At 40.9% G+C, this 22,252-nt stretch overlaps 1 protein-coding gene across 7 annotated transcripts in view; it reads left to right on the top strand.

Moving 5' to 3' along the window:
- PDLIM3 (PDZ and LIM domain 3) overlaps positions 4,561 to 22,252 on the top strand; it is a 34,848-nt gene continuing 17,156 nt past the window's right edge. For 6 of the 7 annotated variants that reach the window (NR_047562.2, NM_001257962.2, NM_014476.6 and 3 more), the window contains exons 1-3: positions 4,561 to 4,726; positions 14,897 to 15,048; positions 16,622 to 16,706. Coding sequence is in view for 6 of the 7 variants with exons in the window: in NM_001257962.2 (NP_001244891.1) it covers positions 4,634 to 4,726; positions 14,897 to 15,048; positions 16,622 to 16,706 (330 nt within the window). In the remaining variant the exon portion in view is untranslated. The remainder of the gene's footprint in view (positions 4,727 to 14,896; positions 15,049 to 16,621; positions 16,707 to 22,252) is intronic. The other variant, NM_001257963.2, reaches the window with a different exon arrangement.

Here is a 22,252-nt window from a genome sequence, read left to right as displayed (position 1 = left end):
TACAGCTAACACACCTCAATTTACAGAACTCCAACCATTCTCAGAAGAAAAGGGGTGTGTCATCCTGGAGACGTGCATTTCCACCGCTCATCAATGCCCGGCCCTTGCTCCATCCCTATCCCCTCTCTGTTTTCTCAGCATCTTCTCTGACTTCAGCAAACCCTTGCATCCTAATTTTTTAAAAGCCATTTCTCTTGATGTGCACTGCCTCAGCTGACCGTCCTGGGTCTCTCCTTCCCTTTTATAAACAAATTCTTTGGAAAGATTTTCCGTATTCTTGTCTCCACCCATTATCTTCAGACCACAGCAGGCTGCCTCTGTCCTCATCATTCTGTTGACTCTGCCCTAAGACTCCAGTAACTCGAGAATGAGCAAATCTAACAAGCACCTATCATTACAACTTTACCTGCACCTCTCTGTGATATTTGCCTTCACTCTTTGAATTTTTCTCCTCACCTGTCTTCCACGCTGTCACTTTCATGGTTTTCTTTAAATGTTTTGTAAGAGAAAAATCATCTTCTCTGGTCCCCTTATTTTCCTGCCCCTTAAATGCTGCTGTTCCTCAAGGTTCAATCATTCAATGTCTGTCTTCTCCCCTTGCATAGCTAATCTCCTTGGGTGATTTCATCTGGTATCTATTACTATTACCGTGTAACAAATGATCCTCAAATTTAGAAGCTGAAAACAACCATTTTATTATGCTCACAGATGCTACGGGTCAGCAAATCAGAAAGAGCACAGTGAGGGTGACTCCTCTCTGCCCCACAATGTCTGCAGCCTGAGCTGAGAGGACTCAGAGGCTGAGAGGGATGTAAGGACTGGATGGAGACTGTGTCGTGAACTGAATGTTTGTGTCCCCCCAAAAAATTCGTATGTTGAAACCCTAATCCCCAGTGTGATGGTATTAGGCAGTGGGGCCTTTGGGATGTAATTAGGTTTAGATAAGGTCATGAAGGTGAAACCCCCATGATGAGATCTGTGTCCTTTTAAGAAGAAGAAGGGATTAAATAGAGCTTTCTCTCAAGGACACAGCAAGAAGGCAGCCATCTGCAAATGAGGGAGAGGGGCCTCACCAGGTTCTCAATCTACCTGCACCTTGATCTTGGACCTCTAAGGCTCCAGAACTGTGAGAAATGAAAGCCTTTTGTTTAAGCCATGCAATCTATGGTATTTTGCCATAGCAGCCTGAACTGGCTAAGACACACTGGAAAGAAGAATCTTTTCTCACAGGTCTGGTGCCTAGTCTGGGGTTACCAATAATAGTACCAATATGTGACCTCCTCATGCAGCCCGGGCTTCCCCACAGCGTGGCACCTCAGAGCTCTTACACGGCAACCAGGCATTAGACACAAGTGTTACAATCAGCAAGGCAGCAGCTGCATTGCTTTTCCTGACCTAGCCTCAGAAGTCTCACCTCATTTCATTAGTAATATAAGAGTCACACCTCTATGCAAGTTCAAGGAGAGAAGACATAGCCTCCATTTCTTGAAGAGTGTCAAAGGATTTGCAACCACTTTTTAAAAAATGTCTAACTTATAGCCATAGATTCTACTATAATTCCAAAATCTTCATCTCAAGCCCAGATCTCTAGATTTATATCTCCAATTGCTTATAATAATAATAGCCAATGATTACATGTATAAAGCGTGTGCCAAGCACACTTCAGGTATTTTGTTATTAACTCAGGTAAACTGCACAGTAACTCTAGGAGGCAAATACTATCACTATCACCATTTTAACAAAGATGGTAAATAACTTGCCTTAAGATCACACAGCAAATACAATGGATCTAGAATATCCAGACTGGCAGTCTGGCTCCAAATCTTTTAGTCTTTTAACCAGTACACTATATGGCACAGATATTCTACAGGTGTCAAAATCAGCACGGCCAAAATGGTGCTCTAACCCACCATTCCCTAATTAAAACAAAAATAGCTTGTTGTATTTCTTACACATTTTCTCCTTGTTCATAATTCCACCATTCATGTAAAATCCAACGGGGAAGTCTGGGAGCCATCCAAATCTCCTAACCACTCCTAATCCCCCATGTGAGATTTGTCCCCAGATTGTGCCAATTAACCCCTATGTGATTCCCATATCTGCCCACTCTGCTCCATCCTCATTGCCCCAATCGATATCCTCCACTGGATTGTTGCAGTAATTGTTCATGGGACGCCCTGGGTTATCTCCTTCAATTGTGCTTCAGCCTCCCACCTCCCAGAATGATGCTTGTAAATGCAAATTTGATTATTATTCATGTTGCTTACAATTCTTCAAAGGCTCTCAATAGTCAAAACCTTATTGTAACGTATGAAATCCTCTCTACTAATATGGCCACTGACTACTGTGATCCTTGTCTCCTGTCTCTACCCAATGGGCTAGGCTCTATCCATACCACATTACTTGCTATTTCCTAATGGGTCATCAGTTTCTTCCCTCCCTGTGACGGCACATCCTATACAGTTCTTCTGCCTTGAATGTCCTCCCTCCTGTGCCCCTCCCAACTCCAGCCACTTGCAACATTCTCTTACCCTTCAAGGTCCACCTCTGACACCCCTTCCTCTAGAACCTGGACACACACCCCAAGGAGAGTTGATTACTTCATTCTTATTAACACTGTCCCCGTTTCCAAAGAAAAAAACAAATGAGGCCGGGCGCGGTGGCTCACGCCTGTAATCCCAGCACTTTGGGAGGCCGAGGCGGGTGGATCACGAGGTCAGGAGATCGAGACCATCCTGGCTAACACGGTGAAACCCCGTCTCTACTAAAAATACAAAAAATTAGCCGGGCGTGGTGGCGGGCGCCTGTAGTCCCAGCTACTCTGGAGGCTGAGGCAGGAGAATGGCCTGAACCCGGGAGGCGGAGCTTGCAGTGAGCCGAGATTGTGCCACTGCACTCCAGCCTGGGCGACAGAGTGAGACTCCATCTCAATAAATAAATAAGTAAACTTAAAAAAAAATCAAAGTCATGCAAAAAGAACCTCTTCTTAGAACAGTACCCAAACCCAAAGCAGGATTTTCTAGGACCATTTAGGATGCAGCCAGTGCTTCTTCCTTAGAATTCTCCCTCCCAGCTAGTCTCACCTCTACCTTAACAGTCACTTCTGAGCACTTTCCTGCTGGTCTCCGTGAAGAGCAGGATGTAGGAAAACTGCCCATCTCATGTCCCTGCTTTCCACACTCTCTGCAAAGCCTTAGGAACTCATCAAGCCTGGGTGACAGATTAAGACTCTGTCTCCAAAAAAAAAAAAAAAAAACAAAAAGAAAGAACTCATCAGATATTATGTGGATATTGTATAGATATTGGCTACATCTAAATGATGCCAAAATGACCAGCAAAAAGGCAAAGAAAAAATCAGCTGTTTATATAAGCCAGCTCGTGAAGTAAGGTAAAAACAATTACTATAATTACACAACACCAAATGACTTGTCTGATTTTTTTTTTCTGAATGGACCTCTGTGTGTGTGCACGTGTATGTCTGCACCACGCAGACAGAGCCAGCAGCTGACTGAAGAAATGTGCTCTGCAGTGATACAGCCACAGCCCAAACAGGCAGTCAGCAGGACACACAATGTTCAGCTCCTCGATGGTCCAGCATAGATGGGGCACTGGGAAATGTGTGGAGCTAGAAAGTGCTTATCCCCTGGGACTTTTATGTAATCCACCACAGCGGACAAAGTAATGCCCATCCTACCTTTGTGATTTACATTTGCCCAGGCTGGTTCGCTTTGCTTACTGCTTACTGCTTACTGCTTTCTGCATCTCCTTTCTCTTTCCTCCATCAGTCTTAAAACTGCTTCCAAACAGACTGCCCTCTTAAAAGTCTGCTGCAGCTCTGTCCTCCTGGACCAATACGACCCTATCATATGGGGCATTAAGTCCAAGACCCTTATTCTTGAGTGTTTAAAGCATTTCTTATTTCTCTTCCCTCATTCTCCCCTCTCCCTTTGGGAATCACAACATCCCAACGCGTAACACCAGAAATACTTGAGTCCACACTGAGACTACCACAGGACCCCGGCCAGACTCTCCTGCACTTTGGGAGGCTGAGGTGGGAAGATTGTTTGAGCCCAGGAGTTCAAGACTAGCCTGGGCAACAAAGTGGAGACCCGGTCTCTAAGAAAAATAAATAAATAAAATAAAAATTTAAAAGGACATTAAGTAATTTGGCCAAAGCCGCAGAGGTCGTAAGTAAATATTAACGCACTCGAAACTGCTAAATAACTTATTGTATCGATGATGCTCGTTTTAATTGAAAGCATGGAGGCTGTGGTCTGGCTGCTTTCGCTTCCAACAAAGTGCACTGCTGCGCTCCAAGCAGAAGATAAACAGGGAGACAGGTGTGACTTCAAGAGAGCGACGGACGCTGTAACCCGAAGCCCCCGCGCCCGCCGCGGCCCGGGAGGCTGCCCCAGCCGGCCGGGCTGCGCACTCCCGCGGGGCTGGCGCGGCTCTCGCTTCCAAAGTTGGAGCTCTCCGGGGTGGGAGGGGGCGGGGAGGACGGCGGGGCGGTGACGTCACCCCCAGCGGGGATAAAGCGCCCCCGCCCGGGTCGGGGCCAGGACGCCGCCCGGCGCGGAGTGGCTGCCCTGCGCGGGGACACTTAGAGCCCGGTGGGCGGGAGGAAGGCGGCATGCCCCAGACGGTGATCCTCCCGGGCCCTGCGCCCTGGGGCTTCAGGCTCTCAGGGGGCATAGACTTCAACCAGCCTTTGGTCATCACCAGGGTAGGTGTCGGCATTCTTGCTTTTGCTGCGAGGTGGGGACTCCGGCGGCGTCCGGGGGGACGCAGTGGATGCCCCGGGGCCGAGGGCGGCCAGAAAGCGCGCGAGGGCGGGCGGACGGGGCGCTGCTGGCTCCCGGGCTTCGGCGCCCAGCTCCGGGGGCGGCGGCAACTCCGTCAAGTGGCTGCGGAGCGGCTCAGAGATTTGACAAAGTCCGCTCTAAAGGTGTCCCATCCTCTGGGTCCGCAGCGACTTTCCGAGGAGAGCCACTGGGCTCAGGGAAGGCGAGGCTGCCAGGCTCGAGTGCCTCCTCCCCTTTAGGTTTTAAATGTTTTATATGTGATAACAGAAATAAAACACACCCCATCGCCCTTCCGTAACAAATGATGGGTCCCGGGTGGGAGAGGCGAGGGACTGGCACCCCCCGGCATTCCCTGGAGCTGGCGCGCATCTGAGCGTTTTTCTCGTCCGGATGAAAAGTTCAGCAGCGCGCTGTTCGCGGGGCACGACCTGCGTTGGCCAAACTGGAGCCGCTCCTATCAGCCCAGACAGGGGAAGTCTTCCTAATGCTCACTCCTCAGTTTCCAGGCATTTTGAGCACGTTTTCCAAAGCTGAGAACTTGGCTTAGGAATTACCAACTTCTAACTCTAGCTACAAAGAAAACGTGGCAGACAGTTTAGTTTACCTGATGCAAAGTAAACCACTCAGCCTAAAACGGAAAATAATGCTTTAATGTCAAAGTCAAGCTTTACTTGGTGTTCTCTACTGTCTAATGAGAAAACAAGGTAAAAATAAAACCTCAGGGTTTCTCTCCTGTCAGTAAATTTGTAGAATTAATTCTAAAGCATTATTTGGTCTAGCTGGTTTTTTTCTAACACAATGTTTTTCTTCATAGAAAATTAATGTATTATTTCAGTTATCACATATAAAACATTTAATACCTAAAGGCGTAAACTTCCAGAATATTATACTTTTAGTTGCAGAGTATTATACTTTATTTTCTTGTATTCTTCTCATGCCATATTTTATAATTGTATGTGTTATAATCTGATTGATCTGCTCATACAGATTTTGAACAAGGTAATACCTTTTAAATTCTGTTTTATTTATATATGCCTATGAGATTTGGGAACCAACATCCTTTTAAAAATATGTCAAAATGTGTATCCTACAGACGCATACAATGGAACGTTTCAAGCCTTGTTTTACATTTTTCAAAAACATATAAACACATCTGACGTGTTTTTATATGAAACATGAAAACTGTTCAACATACCCCCAAAAACGTTCCTAAGTAAAGTAAGCAGAAAATGCTTCAGTGACCTGGGCCAAGCAATTCCTATTATAGATTTACCAACAAAAACAGTTTCCGTTATATCTACTAAGAAATGTTTTAGTTTCTGGAGTATGGTTTTTATTTAAATTGAATAAGCTTTTGAATCCTAACACAGAATAAATCATATTTATATTAAATTCTAACCAAAATAATTTTGTCACGAAAACTTTTAAGGTGTTTATAAAAGAAATATTTTGCTATTATAGTATAATCGTATGTCAATATAATTAATCATATGCTTGAAATTTTGAGTTGTTGACATTATAAATGTTTATTTTAAAGCAGTACTTACATTCCAGAGTTGGACTACAATAGCTATTGGTAAATATATTTGATATAATGGCAGTTATTATTAGGGAAACCAATTCTATCTGGAATTCCTAACTCATAACTAATTTGTATCACTCATTTTTGACATTTGGTTCAATAACAGTTTATGACCAAATATGATTTCACTTGATTATGGCTTTTCTCTTTAATTAATTCTAGGACAGCAGGTAAAACCAAATCATTTTTGTATCCCAAGTGTCCCCAAAGCCAGGTATATAGTAGATTCTTATTGAATAAATAAGAACATTTATTTATTCAATAAGAACTTTTATGCTTTAGTGAACACCTAATTCAGAATATTTTCACTGAAATGATAAGAATATTGAAATTTGTTAAGGAAAAGAATAAAAAGTATTACAGAAAAGTATTACAGAAAAATAACTATCAGTATTGTTAAATGGTGAATTGTTGTACTGCTTTTAACATTTTAACACCATTTTGAAAGGCAGTGTGTGAGGTTGTAAGTGTGTTATTGTACTCTCTTGCTTGCCAGGCATTGATGGGAACCTTTTATGTGCACGAACTCACTGAAATCTCACAATAATCTTTAGGAGAGTAGCAGTAGTGACATCCCCTTTTGCAAATGAGGAGAATGAGGCTTCAAAAGATTTATTAACCCGCCGATGATCACAAGCAGTGGGACAGGCTCTGACGCTAGGTCTGTGTGCCTCCAAAGCCTGCATTCTGAAGGCCACATGTGAAAATGGACACCTGTTCCAATATTTCTAAAGAGTTGTTTTGTGCCATCCTGTTCATCACTGGCCTTATTGATGCTGTCTTCAACATCTGCCACTTTCCATTTTTTCTACTACTGTCCCTCTTCAAGATTTCCTAGCTCCACGCCTAGACATTTGGCTCCCCCGTCCAATTCACACAGCATATTCTTACCGTCTCTGGAAAATGCCAAATTGCTCCTTTCTCATTCTTAAAAATCCTTCAGCGGCATCACTTGTTTGTAGAGAGTGAAATGCGTGTCTTTGCACAACATTCATGACTTTTCACCATCTCCTATCCCAATTTGAGTTGCTAACTTCATTTCTTTCCTCTCCCTTTGTTGTCTCTCCCTTTCCTCCCCTTGTTCCACACGTAGGCAGTGGTACCGCCCTCTGGACTACTTACGATTTCCCTGACGTGTCTTTGCTCCTGATACCATTTTTCCCCACACCACACCACTGTCCTCTGTGCCTGTGGAAACCACTCAAATGCCTCTCCCCAAGCCTTCTTTCAGTAACAACCATCTCATCCGGTTGATTACTGTAGCTTTCGGCCTGTATAACCCCTCCTTATGTCATGCCTGTACCAGATGTTCCACTGCATCTGTATCCCACCAGATTGCACATTCCCCGAAGGCAGAAACCTTCTAATCTGGGGGCCATTCAGGGCCTAGCACAGTGCCTAGTAGAGCATATGTGTTGTAGAATAAATATAGACACGGTATGAATGATTGACTAGATTGTTCCCTTTTTACATGACTTTATTATAAATAGGTATAGAATGTGTTCTCAAAAATATTTCACAAAAAGATAAGTGAGAATTGTTTTATTGTGAGTTGATTTGTCATGTTTTTGTTTTGTTTTGTTGAGACAGAGTCTCGCTCTGTCTCCCAGGCTGGAGTGCAGTGGCGCGATCTCGCCTCACTGCAACCTCTGCCTCCTGGGTTCAAGCGATTCTCCTGCCTCAGCCTTCCAAGTAGCTGGGACTACAAGCACCCGCCACCATACCCAGCTAATTTTTTTTTTTTTTTTTTTTTTAGTAGAGATAGGGTTTCACCATGTTGGCCAGGCTACTCTCAAACTCCTGACCTCAGGCGATCCGCCCACCTCAGCTTCCCAAAGTGATTACAGTCGTGAGCCACCACGCCTGGCTGATGTGTCAGTTTTAAATAAGTTCTTAATATACAAAGAATTGAAATACCAATATCTACACTTAAAGCCACAAAAAGTCCCATAAACGAGATGTGTTTAATCGAGTCCCCATTAAATCAGCTTTTGTCCTCCTACAAGCTATACCCTTCACTCCCCGCCTCACACTATACAAATACAGACGACAGCAATACTGCTAGACAATGGGGCTCCAACCAGAGTTTGTAGGAGAGTGACAAATATGACTGCCTCCATCAATTGAAATTACAGTTCACAAAATTAGGACACAGGGCCCTCATGCCCGTAATTGTTTACAATCCAAATAGCCAGATGAATCTTTGTATTATAAAAAAATCAAAAGTAAGGTAAATCAAACACCAGACATTCTCAAAACAAATTTTTAGCAACTGGTTGTGATAAACACAATTTTTAGGAAAGCAGTTTCTAGGCAATAAGTGTGATAGACCTTGTGCAATATAAAATTTCAGTTTTGGATGTTCAGTTTAGGGGAGGGAGTTGTTAAACACCGTGTATAACTGGCCTAAGCATTTCACAGAAGAATTTGAAGGTTCACTTCTTCAAGTGAGCATCTTTTCTTTTTATAAGAAGCTTCTAAAGAGTCTAAGTTTTTGGACCATCCAGAAGCTAGATCTACTCTCACAGACAAGTTGCAAATCGTTTGCTTTGACAAGATTTCAATATGGAATATAGTAATCCCCTCTCATCCACAGGGGACACATTCCAAGACCCCCAATGGTTGCCTAAAACCTACATTAGTACCAAACCCTATATATATATACGTGTGTGTGTGTGTGTGTGTGTGTGTATGTGTGTGTGTGTGTGTGTGTTTCTATGCATGCATACCTATGATAAAGTTTAATTTATAACTTGGGCACAGCGCTCTTGCACTTTGGGGCCATTATTAAGTGAAATAAGGGTTGCTTGAACCCAAGCACTGCAATACTGTGACAGCCGATCTGATAACTAAGACTTCGAAGTGATTTACAGGTGAAGAGTGCAGCATAGACAAGGTGGATACGCTGGACAAAGGGATGATCCATGACCCAGGTGGGACAGAGTAAGACTTCATCGCGCTACTCAGCACAGCTGCAATTTAACACTTATGAGTTGTTTACTTCTCAAATATTCCAATTACTATTTGTAGGCTGCAGTTGGTCTCGGATAACTGAAACTGCAGAAAATAAAACCGTGAATAAGGGGAGGCTAGTGTACAGGGCAAGCTTCTTTTGTGTACATGATATAAAATGATTGTCTATATCTGATGCCAGTGTGTCTTTTCTCACTAAAATGTCTTCCCCCTCTTCACTCCTCCCTCCTTCCTATGCAGAGCACATCCAAGATCAAGATTATTATAACTGAGAATGCTATATGAGCTTGAGTACCAATATAGAAAAAGTTAGTGTGTTCCTAATTTGTACAGGCTTTAAGATAGAACAGTGTATGACTTTAACATAAACTACTTTTGAAATTTCATGTAATATAAACTACATTTGAAGTTTAAACTTTTAGAAAGGACTGTTTGCAATGGAATGCAATTCTTTTCCAGGGTAAAACACAAATGTAGTGGAAAGGTTGATGTAAATAAAAACCTGTTCAATTTTGTTCTAACACAGACCGTGTCTACGTGGAAGTACTGGTTCATGTGTAACTCATACATCCCACAAGCATCTACTGTGTGCAGAATGTCTCGTATGTGAAAGACACTGTGGGCATATAACTGTGGCTTAGATGGGCTTCTAACCCCTGAGAAGATAATATATCAGCAGAAAAAAAGGAACATGTATATGAACTGCCATCACACAACCTATCCAGAATTCCACAAGAAAAGTATGGTCAAAGAGCTAGGAGGTGTTGAAGGAAAGATTACCTGCAGGAGAGGCAATGCGAGATGATAGAAGATTCTGAGCTATAGAGCGAGGCGGACCCAGATGGGAATTTCAGGTTTTCTCGGGATGTGGGACCCTAACCAAGCTTCTTATACTTTCCAAGCATCCATTTTCTCATTTTAAAAAAGAGATAACTATGTTGTAAGATTGTCTTAAGAATTATGTGAGATAATAGTTCTCAATAGTAATACGGTGATGGTTCCCAGCCCTGGCAGCATGTTAAAGCCGCCCATGTGACTTCTGAACACAGCCATGCCCAGGTGCATGCAGAGATTCTAATATAACCGGTGTGGGGTGTGGCTCTAGAAATGTCTTTGGCAGGCAGGTGCTGCAGGGCTGTGGATGCCAAGGAGGCACGCGGAGTCTATTTGCTAGGGATGGAGAATGAACAATGGGGTTTCTCATGATTTTGGTCCGTGCCTACCGTGCAGTGCTTCAGTGTGTGCTTGTCTTGCTCCATAACTATTTCAGTCGTTTTTATTAACAGAAACATCATCTCAGGACCATGTCTTGGGCTTGCCTTACGTCTCCACATAAATAGGACATTATAGATGCTTTATCTGTGTTTTCAGTTAGCTTTTTTTTCCCCAACAGATCCAAGTAATATAAGTTGATGTGAATAACAGAAATCATCTGAGGCGCTTGTTGAAAGCATAAATTCCCTGGCTCCTCTCCTAGAGATTCTGTTCCTGATTCCGAGCATCTGGAATAGGACTGGAGCCTTTAACGTTCAGCAAGGGCCCCAGGTGATTCTTATAATCACACAAGTTTGAAAACATGGTGCTAAGTGATTCACTGCAGTACCGTGTTCAATGATCTCTCTGGTACTTTTGATATTTGAGACCCTAATGAACCTAAATAAAAAATAATCCGCTGACAAACACTATGCCTCATTTCAGCTCTCTCTTCTAATTTGGGAAAACAGTAATAAACTGTGCATGCTAATACAAAGTAATATAATAAGGAAAGAATATAATAATGCAATAAAGTAATAATATAAAGTAATGCAGGGAAAACAGATCGTTTAACTTAGTAAAATCAGGCCAATTTCGCAGTCATTTTCTGATCACTGGGCTCGCTGAACTTGAAAACGAGGAAAAAGTAAAGACATCATGTTTTCTCCTTCTCTCTCATTCCTCTCTCTATTTCCTTTTTCTCATCAACTGTCTCCTTAGAGGTCTCAGGACAGCAATAACCAGGTTGAATACAAAATGAGAAGTGGGATCTGGCCATCACTATCAACCACCTGTCCTAGCTGACTTCTGAAGGAGCTGGTGACATAGCTGTACAGCTGCTCAGCAGCAAAGCCGCAGGTTACTTAGACACCTCTTCTCCTCTGAAAGCCAGAGCCAGTTTTCCTTGTCCAGCCTGTCTTAGAGAGTTGTAATGGTCAAACGTGTGAGAAGGAGCTTTGCAAATGTAACATTTTGCATAAGTATAAGATGGTATTATTTAGTATTAATATTGTTAGTAAATTTTAGTAATATTCAGTATCTAAGATATTCAACTTAGATATCCAATAGTTATTCATTATCTAAGTCCAATATCAGGGGTATGGCTCTAGATATCAATAGATATTGGACTTAGATAATGAAAAGCTATTGTTCAGATGTGTGTTTAAAATTAGTGTGGACACATGCAGAAACAAACCCCCACTCATCCCACCTTACACTCATCCTAACCAGAGCTAAAAGAAAAGTTAGACTTTTCCAAATCAGAATTGAGTATTACATAACTTAACTCTATTAAGGTATATTAGAAAAGCTAAGTTAGGCTCTAAAAGCAAATATGTTGAGATACACCTGCTTGTGTGTTTTGTTTGTTTGTTTGTTTGTTTTGTTTTGTTTTTGGTGAGAGGAGGAGGTCTACCTCTGTTGCCCAGGCTGGCGTGCAGTGGTGCAATCATAGCTCTCTGTGGCCTCAAACTCCTGGGCTCAAGCAGTCCTCCTCCCTCAGCCTCCTGAGCAGCTGGGACTACAGGTGTGCACCATTATGCCTAGCTTTTTAAAAATATATTTTTTTGTAGAGACAGGGTCCTGCTATTTTGCCCAGGCTGGTCTCAAACTCCTAGCCTCAAGCAATCCTTCCACCTCAGCCTCCCAAAGCACTGGGATTACAGGCATGAGGCATCATGCCTGGCCCTGTGTTTTAACTCAAAGAAAATTATTCTAGTCTTAGACATTTAAAAATAGAAAATACTGATTTTGACAAATGAGAGAAAATTAAAAGTTTAAGATTATTTTTATCCTTACAAGTCACTTTGGGGATGGAAACTTTTGTTCTACTAACAGTTCTGGGTCTGAGAATGTTTCTAAATGGAAAACGGCTATGAAATGCCTCCCAAAGGCTAAGATATAATAATCCCCAGTTGTCTTCACCCAGCTTCTATTAACTGTTCCTACTGGGAAATCATTGTGATAGCTACAGTGAGGTGATCATAGAAATAAAGTGAGTACAATAAACATTTTAGTAATGAGACAGAAGATCCAGGACACAAGACAACTTATTATTTTAGCAATTTTTATTTATTCAGATGAACTTGTATCTTCCTTAGAACCGCAATTAGATAGCTAGAATAAGCAAATAAAGAAAAAGCAAATGAATTACTGATCCCTAAATAAAGCATTAGAAATAATCTAGTTTCTTCCTGGAGCAGTTTGAGATTTGATAGTAGTATGTATTGTTCTGCTCTAATAGAAACTCACAAACATAGCAATGACAAGTTGACATTAAAAGCCATAATCTTTGGGTATATAGGGACTAGTTCTTTTTTATATAAGCTCTGACAAATGCTTTTTAATTGATTCTTCAATTATTCTAAATACTGGGGTATACACTGTGAAGTATTAAAAATATACATCATATTGTACATATCCTCAAGAGCATCCAGTCTAGTTGGGAAGACAGACAATACACGAGTAAATAAACAAACATAAAAGTACAAATAACTTTCATTAAGGAAATAGGATGTAATGGTGAAAAATGATGAGGGGAGGACTAGAGAAGCTACTTCAGATGTTTGGCGAAGTCTTTCTGAGAGTGCAGCATTTGAACCTAGACCTAAAGGTTGAGAAGGAGTGAAGAGTAAGGGAAGCATTTCAGGCAGAAATAAGAGTGCATGAGAACCCCCAGAAAGGGCACAAGCTTGGCCTACATGAGGAACTAAAAGGAAATCAGAATGGCCACAGCACCATGGATGAGGGAGAGCAGGAATAATGTAAGATGATATGAGAGAAGTAGGCAAGGTAAGACCCATGTGAGGTCTAGACAGAGGTGTATAGTTGGGATTTGCCCAGAAAAATTGGGAGTAGGTATACTGGTCAAAAGAATCATTGACTTTAACTGAATATTCAACAGTAATAATTACAAACTTCCTATTTTTAAATATTTTAAATTATGGGAAACCATATTTTTCCCATATTCTGTATTCTTAAGTATTTCTTTTATTCCTGCCCCTGAAAAACATGTGGACAGCATAAAATTGGATCTCACTTCTTCACCTAGTTTGATAGTCTCTGTTTTTTAAGTGATGTGTTTAGATGATTTACATTTAATGTAATTGCTGCTATGGTTTAATTAAAATCTACTGTCTTGCTAGTTTGGTTTCATCTGTCCTTCATTCGTGGAGAAGAGACCATGAGTGAATACAAACTTCCTTTGTCTCTGGTTTCCGGGAGTTCTGTACGCTCATGTTAACTCACACTGGATCTTTAGCAATTTGTTAATAATTTTAGCTGAATTCTTCATAACAGCTAGTATGGGAGCCCCATCTTCCTCCATGCCCTGCTCCATGCAGGTGAGCCTGTGCTCATGTCTTGCCTTTGCTTGAAGGCACCTGTCTTTCCTTAGATTTCAAGTTTATTGCCCTGTGACTTTAGCTCTCTGAAGGGTTCAAGAGAAGTTATAATTTTGTGTATTATCTGGCCTCTTCTTGTTAGTCTCTACAGATTTCTAAACAAAGTGCAATAGACTGGGTGGCTTATAAGTAACATAAATTTATTTCTCACTGTTCTGGAGACCGGAAATCCAAGGTTAGGATACCAGCATGGTTGGGTTCTGGTGAGGAAACTCTTCTGGGTTGCAGACACCTCACTTGTTATTGTTTCCTCCTTATTGGAGGCAAGAGAGCTGAGAGCTCTCTCTGAGGCCTTTTTCATAAGGGCACTAATCCCATTCATGAGGGCTCCTCACTTCTGACCTAATTACCCCCCAAAAGTCCCTCCTCCAAATACCATCACATTGTGGTTAGGATTTCAACATTTGAGTTTTGGGGGGAGATAAAAAGTCCATTGCATGCCTCTTACGTGAATTTTAAAGATGATAAATAGTAAGGATTGCTATATTTGGATTGAAAGCAGTTTCAACCTGAATGTAAAAGATGCCTAAATATAGTAAAACTCTATTCCCAAATAGAGACTTCTGGGTGATGAAAAATAAAAAATAATTTTTTAAAACAAAAAAATGTATGATTCACACTGGGAATTATGTAAGATGTTTTAAAAGAGAGTAACAGATACAAGGATATGAAATGTGGTTAGTAAGAAACAAAATCATTCAGCAGGATGAGAAAATAGACCTAACTCAACTGACCAACTAAGAGTTATCTTTAGTTAGATTTACAGTCTTTCTGCCCAATTAAACATTTAAAATGTTACCAGGCTGAAACACAAATGTCAGGCACAAAACTCAAGATACTGCGGGATGTTGGTTTTTAAATAGTGCCATGATTTCTTCCAGATTACACCAGGAAGCAAGGCGGCAGCTGCCAACCTGTGTCCTGGAGATGTCATCCTGGCTATTGACGGCTTTGGGACAGAGTCCATGACTCATGCTGATGCGCAGGACAGGATTAAAGCAGCAGCTCACCAGCTGTGTCTCAAAATTGACAGGTGCTTCTTAACTAATGGTGCTTAAATCTGATCTGTTTTGCAGGAGAACCTGAACCAGAACTATAAATAACTTCATCCTCCCAGCAAGGAGGGCCACAGACCTAGTATTTTGGCTGACTTTTTATATATTAGCTACTTAATTCTTTACTAAAGTCAGTCAATCTAGCAGTTGTTGACAAATCATTTCTAAAAAGGATTCTCTGGAATGTTAGAATAATAAAAGAGGCTAAAAGAATTTGTTCCAGTAATAACCCGGTTAATTAACTATGAAAATAGAACTATTAGCCACATAAACACTGAACAACACAACTAGTTATATCACTGTTCTCAGTGTGGTAGAGAATGGAATGGAATGGAATGGAATGGAGAGATTCCCCTGAAATAATCTCTTGACTTGCCTGACTGTAATTATATTAAAACTGGTTGCTAATATCCTGTCTGCCATTGGCTGTTTTGTACAGAATTCAGCCCAGAAGAATGTTACAGGTGTGAGAGTGCATATGCACGTGGGCATGTGAAATACTGAGATGTTTCTGACCCCACCCCCCAAAAACACTAAGAAATTGAGCCTGATCTCTTGCCATCAGATCCCTGATCCAAAACTGAACCATGATAATAATAATTTGTTATAGTGGTTGTTAGTGTGTGTTTATCCTGTTATGATTGTACTCACAGTTTTCCGTGCTGTGGTACAGAAGGATCAATCAATCCACCAATCTGCCGTTTCCTTGGGGTGAAATAGATTCTTTCACTCTCTATGCATAACCTGTGTTCATGCCGAGCACACAGTCCCTTAGGAGCCACTAGGTCCCAGGCAGATGCATGAGAAGGGTTGGACAAAGCACATTTCCTTGATGCCAGTAACACATCCACCTGGCAGATCACTCACTGTCTTCTGCAGTGGCCTCAGTAGGACTGGAGGGAAGTAGGGAGGTCTAGGGAGCTTGCCTGGTGGTCATCTGCAGAGTGTGCCTGCAGAGTCTCCCTCTCCTGTTTCCCACATGCCTTGCAGGCCTCCTTCCTCCAGAAACTGTGCAGTGTACTCCAGGCAATTTTTATCTAGTCTGCCATACCCAAAAGGACATTAAAAATGTACGACTTCGGCCGGGTGTGGTGGCTCCCGCCTGTAATCCTAGCGCTTTGGGAGGCCGAACTGGGCGGATCACTTGAGGTCCAGAGTTCATGACCAGCCTGGCCAACTGGTGAAACCCCGTCTCTACTAAAAATACAAAAATTAGCCAGGCATGGTGGTGGGCACCTGTAATCCCAGCTACTCGGGAAGCTGAGGGAGGAGAATCGCTTGGACCCAGAAGGAGGAGGTTGCAGTGAGTCAAGATTTTGCCACTGCACTCCAGCCTGGTTGACAGAGGGAGACAACATTAAAAGAAAAAAAAAGGGGGGGGGAAGACTAATTATGTGGGAAAATACAGAATAATCAGCAAAAAAAAAAATTGTTTTTGCATAAGTTAGTGAGGTTTGCTAGTATTTTCACAAACATAATGGGAAACTAAAGTATGCTAAAACTGAAAGTACCATTAGAATTTGAAGTTTACAAATTTTATTTTATTTCCAGGGGAGAAACTCACTTATGGTCTCCACAAGTATCTGAAGATGGGAAAGCCCATCCTTTCAAAATCAACTTAGAATCAGAACCACAGGTATGCGTTTTAGAGCAAATGATACACATTGTATTTCCTTTTAAATCATGGGGATGCCTTCCAAGGGGAGGAAGAGACAAATAGAAAAATTGGAACAAGCCACCTATGAAGCTGTTGTCTGTCATTCCTCTCCGAGATTAATTTATATTATCCGTGTTTTCTTACATCAAGAAAAAGAAGTGTTCCTATGTGAACATCTTGTTGAAAGACAAAATATGCTCCCATCAGAAAGAATTTGGCTAAATCTACAGAGTCCACTTATTATTTTTTCATTTCTTATAATGGACTTCTGTGAAATGACCGTGAGGTAATCTAAGGAGTTTAAGTTGTTAAAACAAAGCAAAGCAAAAATAAGGTCTACCATTTGAAACAGGTGTCTCCAATCTACGGTTACTGTGAATTTCAGTCCTTCGAGGTCTTCACCCAGATCTCATTCTACATTCTTCTTTAATTCTCATTTCTGGGATTCTGTAATTAAATTTACTCTAAGAAAAGAGTGTTGCCTAGTGTGATGATGGTGATATTCTGCCGTTACAGCTGAATTATAAAAGATAAAGGATTTTCTCTGGAGGCAACTGTAATAAACTAAACTAATCATCTGATGCTTATCTATGTCTACTTTCAAAAGGCCCAAAAAACCTGAAATTAAATCAAATCTTGATTGTGATGTACTCATAAATCTAATTAAGAAAAGCATTTTATGACCTCTACATAGAAGCTCTAAAGGTTTAGAGATACAGATACATGAATTTACCATCCCTTTTGAAACACATGTTCCTGCTAAACTGATTAGATATTCCCAGCATGTAGTTGTTCTATATAACTGATGAAAGGGAACTGAAAACGTATTTGTAATTTATGTTTAGCAGTATTTCCCCTTTCAAGAAAATCAACTCCTGAATTTGTCCTTCAAGTTTTCTACTTGTCTCCATAAGCCTCTGATTTCTTTTGTGAAAAGATGTTGAATAACATCAGTACATGTGTCTCCTAGGGCTTCTCAAAAATTAGAATAAAATAATACAAGCAGAGAAGTTGGCACATTGAGTTATTCATAGAAATACTCAAGTAAGTGGTAGCTGTCCTTATTATCAGTACGTTACCCCCACCCCAGGCTGGGATCCGAAAGTCTCCTGGCGTTTCTTGCTGGTGAGATAGTTAGCTGCCTACATGATAGGACATCCTAGAGGCTAGGAATGCCTTCTTCATTGCTATTACGAGGGTCGTGACAAATGGAACAAAGCTTTATTTTCAGTTAAAATATAATCTCTCCTGGAGAAGAAGGATCCTGAGTAATGTAATCTTTAGAGGAAATGAGTTTATTAGATTGTTGTCGTAGAGTTTTGACTAAAGGGAAGGTAGAGTCTGAATCTAAAATCCACTAAAAGCAAAAGTAGGAGAAAATAAGCCCCAAAAGGAGTGAGCAGGACAGAGAATATGTTCATGAAGGCAGGAACCTTGAGGCTGTTGTCTTCCCTCTGAGTCCCTCCAGCTCAATAAATAGCCCACAGCTCAATAAATAGCTGACAAATGGATGAAAGGAACTGGAGGGCCTAAAAATGAGCTGTGCATTTTCTAACATTGCCAGGACCTGTCCTGGGAGCCAGTTCTCAAAATGGTGTTCTGCCATCACTCTCAGCTGTTGCATGGAAAGTAATCTTGAAAGTTGAGTGGGGCCAGGCGCATTGACTCACACCTATAATCCTTTGGGAGGCAGAGGCAAAAAGATTGCTTGAGCCCTGGAGTTTGAGACCAGCCTGGGCAACATGGTGAGACCCCATTTCTATAAATTTTAAAAATTAACCAGGGCATGTTGGTACACACCTGTAAGTCCCAGCTACACAGAAGGCTGAGGTGGGAGGAGTGCTTGAGCCCAGGATGTCGAGGCTGCAGTGAGCTGTGATTGCACCACTGCACTCCAGCTTGGGTGACAGAGCAAGACCCTGTCTCAAAAAAAAAAAAAAAGAAAAGAAAAGAAAGTTGAGTGGGATACTTAGGCTAGGTAAGACTTTTGCTCTTTGGGGTAAGTGAGCAAAAGAAAATGGATGGCACAGATAATAAATATAATGAGAAGGGATCTGAATGCTGATGGCGACTCCCCCTGACATACTAGGTGGGCTGGTGAATAATGACACCTCTAGTCAACATTTTCTTTGCTAGAAGAAAATAGTGGAAGAAAAAAGGAAAGTTCTTGAGGTAGAGTTCTCACTTGTATCTAGCCTTTTGCAGAGATGCCCAGGCTGACCTGCTTCCTCCCACCGTCATCAATTTATCACCTGGAGGTGACACATGAGAAAAAGAGACTATATGGTGCTTTTAAGAATTAAAGTCAATAGACATGCACTTATTGACCACTCAGCCTCTTATCATTACCTGGACCAACCAGAAGGGACTCTGCATTTCCTTTTCCCTACACAGCACACATCCAATATTGCACTGCATCCTTTGCAACTTATTTTTCCATGCAAGAATTTCTCCTAATTTTTAAACCCAATTTCGTTAATATGAGATGCAAGAAATGAGGCCAACTAGATAGATCTGACCGAAGTACCAAATCCCCAGTGATCCTTCATCATGGTTGCATCCGTCACCCCAGCATGTAAGTAATTCAGCAAGTATTTACTAAGCACAAAGTGAGTTTAGACCAGGATGGGAGCCCACGTTTTGCTAACATCTCTCCAGAATTGGAGTTTAAGGGTAATTTTCCAAGTTGTAGCTCTAGCAGAGGCTTCTATTGCAAGTCTATGAGTATTAATTTATGACTATGGTTATTCTAAGGATGGGATTTTAAGGCATAATCCTAATTTTAAATACTCTGACCTCTTGTCAAGCATGTATTAGCCCTTGTGTCCTACATTTGGGGGTTAGAAAATATGAATATTTACAATACTACAAATGAGAAAAAGGAGATTAAATTGTTTTTTTTTTAAAGGTTGAGATTAGGTTAAGGGCTATAGCAGCCAGTCAGATGGAGCCTTGAAACATTCCATGACTTTGCGTCATGACTAATTCTTACTGACATCCTCTCCAAGAGGCCGGTGTTTGAAATGCTCCAAGATAAGAACAATTCAGTTCTACTAATGAACCAAAGGATTTCTACTCCTTATGAGACTCTTAGGCCAGATTTCTGCACGGCCAGTTTATGTAACTTGGTACTTCAGGACAGACATTCCCTACACAAAAATAACTAAATTGCAGTGTATCTCCTGCTATCCAAAAATCCTTTAGCGTAAACCAGAACAAAACGTGCTGATAAAAGTCAAACAGTGAGTTTCACTTGTGGACTGAGACGAGAGAAAAGCTAAGCTATGGTTATAGGGTTTTTTGTTTTTCTAAGTAATACAAAGCTGTGCAAAAAAGATGTCTTTTTCTTTTTTATCAAAATGACAACTCTGCAAATACAGCAATCTTCTGGACAGCAAATACGTGTCAGTTAGAGAAACAAATGCCATTAATATTATCATGCTTCAGGATGTCATTGCAGATGAATAGCAAAAGGCCATGGAACAATATGAAATTTGAGTTTTTGTTTCTCAACCCAAGTCAAACTTTTATTGTAAGTTATGTGACCTTTGACATTGGAATAAAATACACTTTCTCACTTACTTATTGGGGAAAAAACTATACCATCCAAGCCCAGCCACAGATATTAAATATTAGTATGTTTATTTCTGGGGGTTTTTTTCCCCTGTGAATAGGTTTAAGCTAAGGAGACATTTTCTTATATGGTTATAGGAATAGTTGATATAAAATTTTAATATCTAGATTTTTAAAATGTGGCCGGGCATGGTGGCTCACGCCTGTAGTCCCAGCACTTTGGGAGGCCGAGGCAGGTGGATCACCTGAGGTCAGGAGTTTGAGACCAGCCTGGTCAACATGGTGAAACCCTGTCTCTACTAGAAATACAAAAAATTAGCCAGATGTGGTGGCACACGCCTGTGGTCCCAGCTACTGGGGAGGCTGAGGCAGGAGAATCACTTGAACCCAAGAGGTGGAGGTTGCAGTGAGCCAAGATCGCACCACTGCACTCCAGCCTGGGCAACAGAGTAAGACTCCGTCTCACAAATAATAATAATAATAATTTTTCCATGCTATCATCAAATAGCTAAGTTTTGTTTCTCTGAGTTTAGACTTGAATCTTAGGCTTAAAGGGCACGTTAGTTGTTGTTTAGATCAACTCCCAGCACCTGAATAAATGCCTTCCATGCAATCCTGAACACAATCTATTTTTCTCTATTTTTCTGTACAAAAATAGACAAAATGGTCCATTTTTTAGTACGAAGTGTTGCTCTTGACTAAGAGTATGTTAATGAAGCTCTTTGTCCTTTTTCAAAGCTTACATTCTCAAACCATAACCCTCATATTTGCTTAATGTTAGTGGAACAACTCAAAGGTATACTGTGCCTGTCACAATACAAGAAAGATGCTTTCAGAAACAAAAATGGTTCTTATCTAAATAAGAAGAAAGCTGTCTCCATTTCCATAAAAAGGATTGCATCCTTGCCAGAGAAGATAATAGAGTTTACATACACAGTCAAGAAGAGTGTGGGATAAAGTCATTTTTATTTTCACAAATAAAAAGTGTTTTGGTAACTGGAAGGCAGCCCATATAAAACAAGCTTTCATAGTCACCATTTCCTCAAGCTCTTCCCAGTGAGAGATGGGAAACACTTGAAACTGCTCACTGGAGAAAAAAGGATGATGAGGGTGACTTTACTGTTTATTTGAGGGGTGAGTATGAGGAGGAAGTGATTCTAAACTTCAAACGTGATGAAATATAATTTCTTCATCATGCCTTGATCAAATATAAGATCACTTCATAGAGTTTGTTTCTCTTATATGCCCACCATTTTTTCATATATATATGATTTGATTTTATATACACATATGTATACATATTATATATAAATATATATGTGTATACATATATGTGTGTATATCTATGAATCAAACATACTGTTTCTGTTGGAGATGGTTCAGAATTATAAAGATTATCTGAATCTTTATCTGTGAGCAGTCTCCAAGTAAGAAGTTGAAAGGTGAAGCCTTTGACTGCTGTCATGTCTGAGGTCATTCCAAGGACATGGGAGACTGCTGTCCATGGTTGGATCCTCTTAACATCAGCAGAGTTCTGTCAAGTTACTTAGCTTTCACTGGGGCAGCTCTAGCATTCCATTAATTCAAAATGTTGTTCCTTAATATAAGCCTCTAACATTTAAAATAAAAATTTTAAATGTATCCATTAAGGGAATAATTACATATTGAATTCCTAAGAAATAAGAATTATTTGGGTGGTTTTTTCTAGATAGAATAAACACAAGAGCTGGACTATATTAACTGTTGTATACACTTTTTTAACTGGCATTTTCAGTTACTTGTGATTTTTCCAGGAAAAATAAAAATGAATTAAAGTGGAACAGCGGACTTCTAATTGGTTTTGTCTTTTGATTACATTTGACCATCAACAATGATGTAAGCCTTGGATAGAATGTTGCCCCTCAGTGCCCCACTTAAATTTCTTGGTAAACCTTTGGTGTATACACTTCATT

This window comes from Homo sapiens, chromosome 4 (assembly GCF_000001405.40).
Source record: "Homo sapiens chromosome 4, GRCh38.p14 Primary Assembly".
Lineage (NCBI taxonomy): Eukaryota > Metazoa > Chordata > Mammalia > Primates > Hominidae > Homo > Homo sapiens.
The sequence above is the reverse complement of the archived record's forward strand: the minus strand, read 5'-3'. Positions and strand labels throughout refer to the sequence as shown.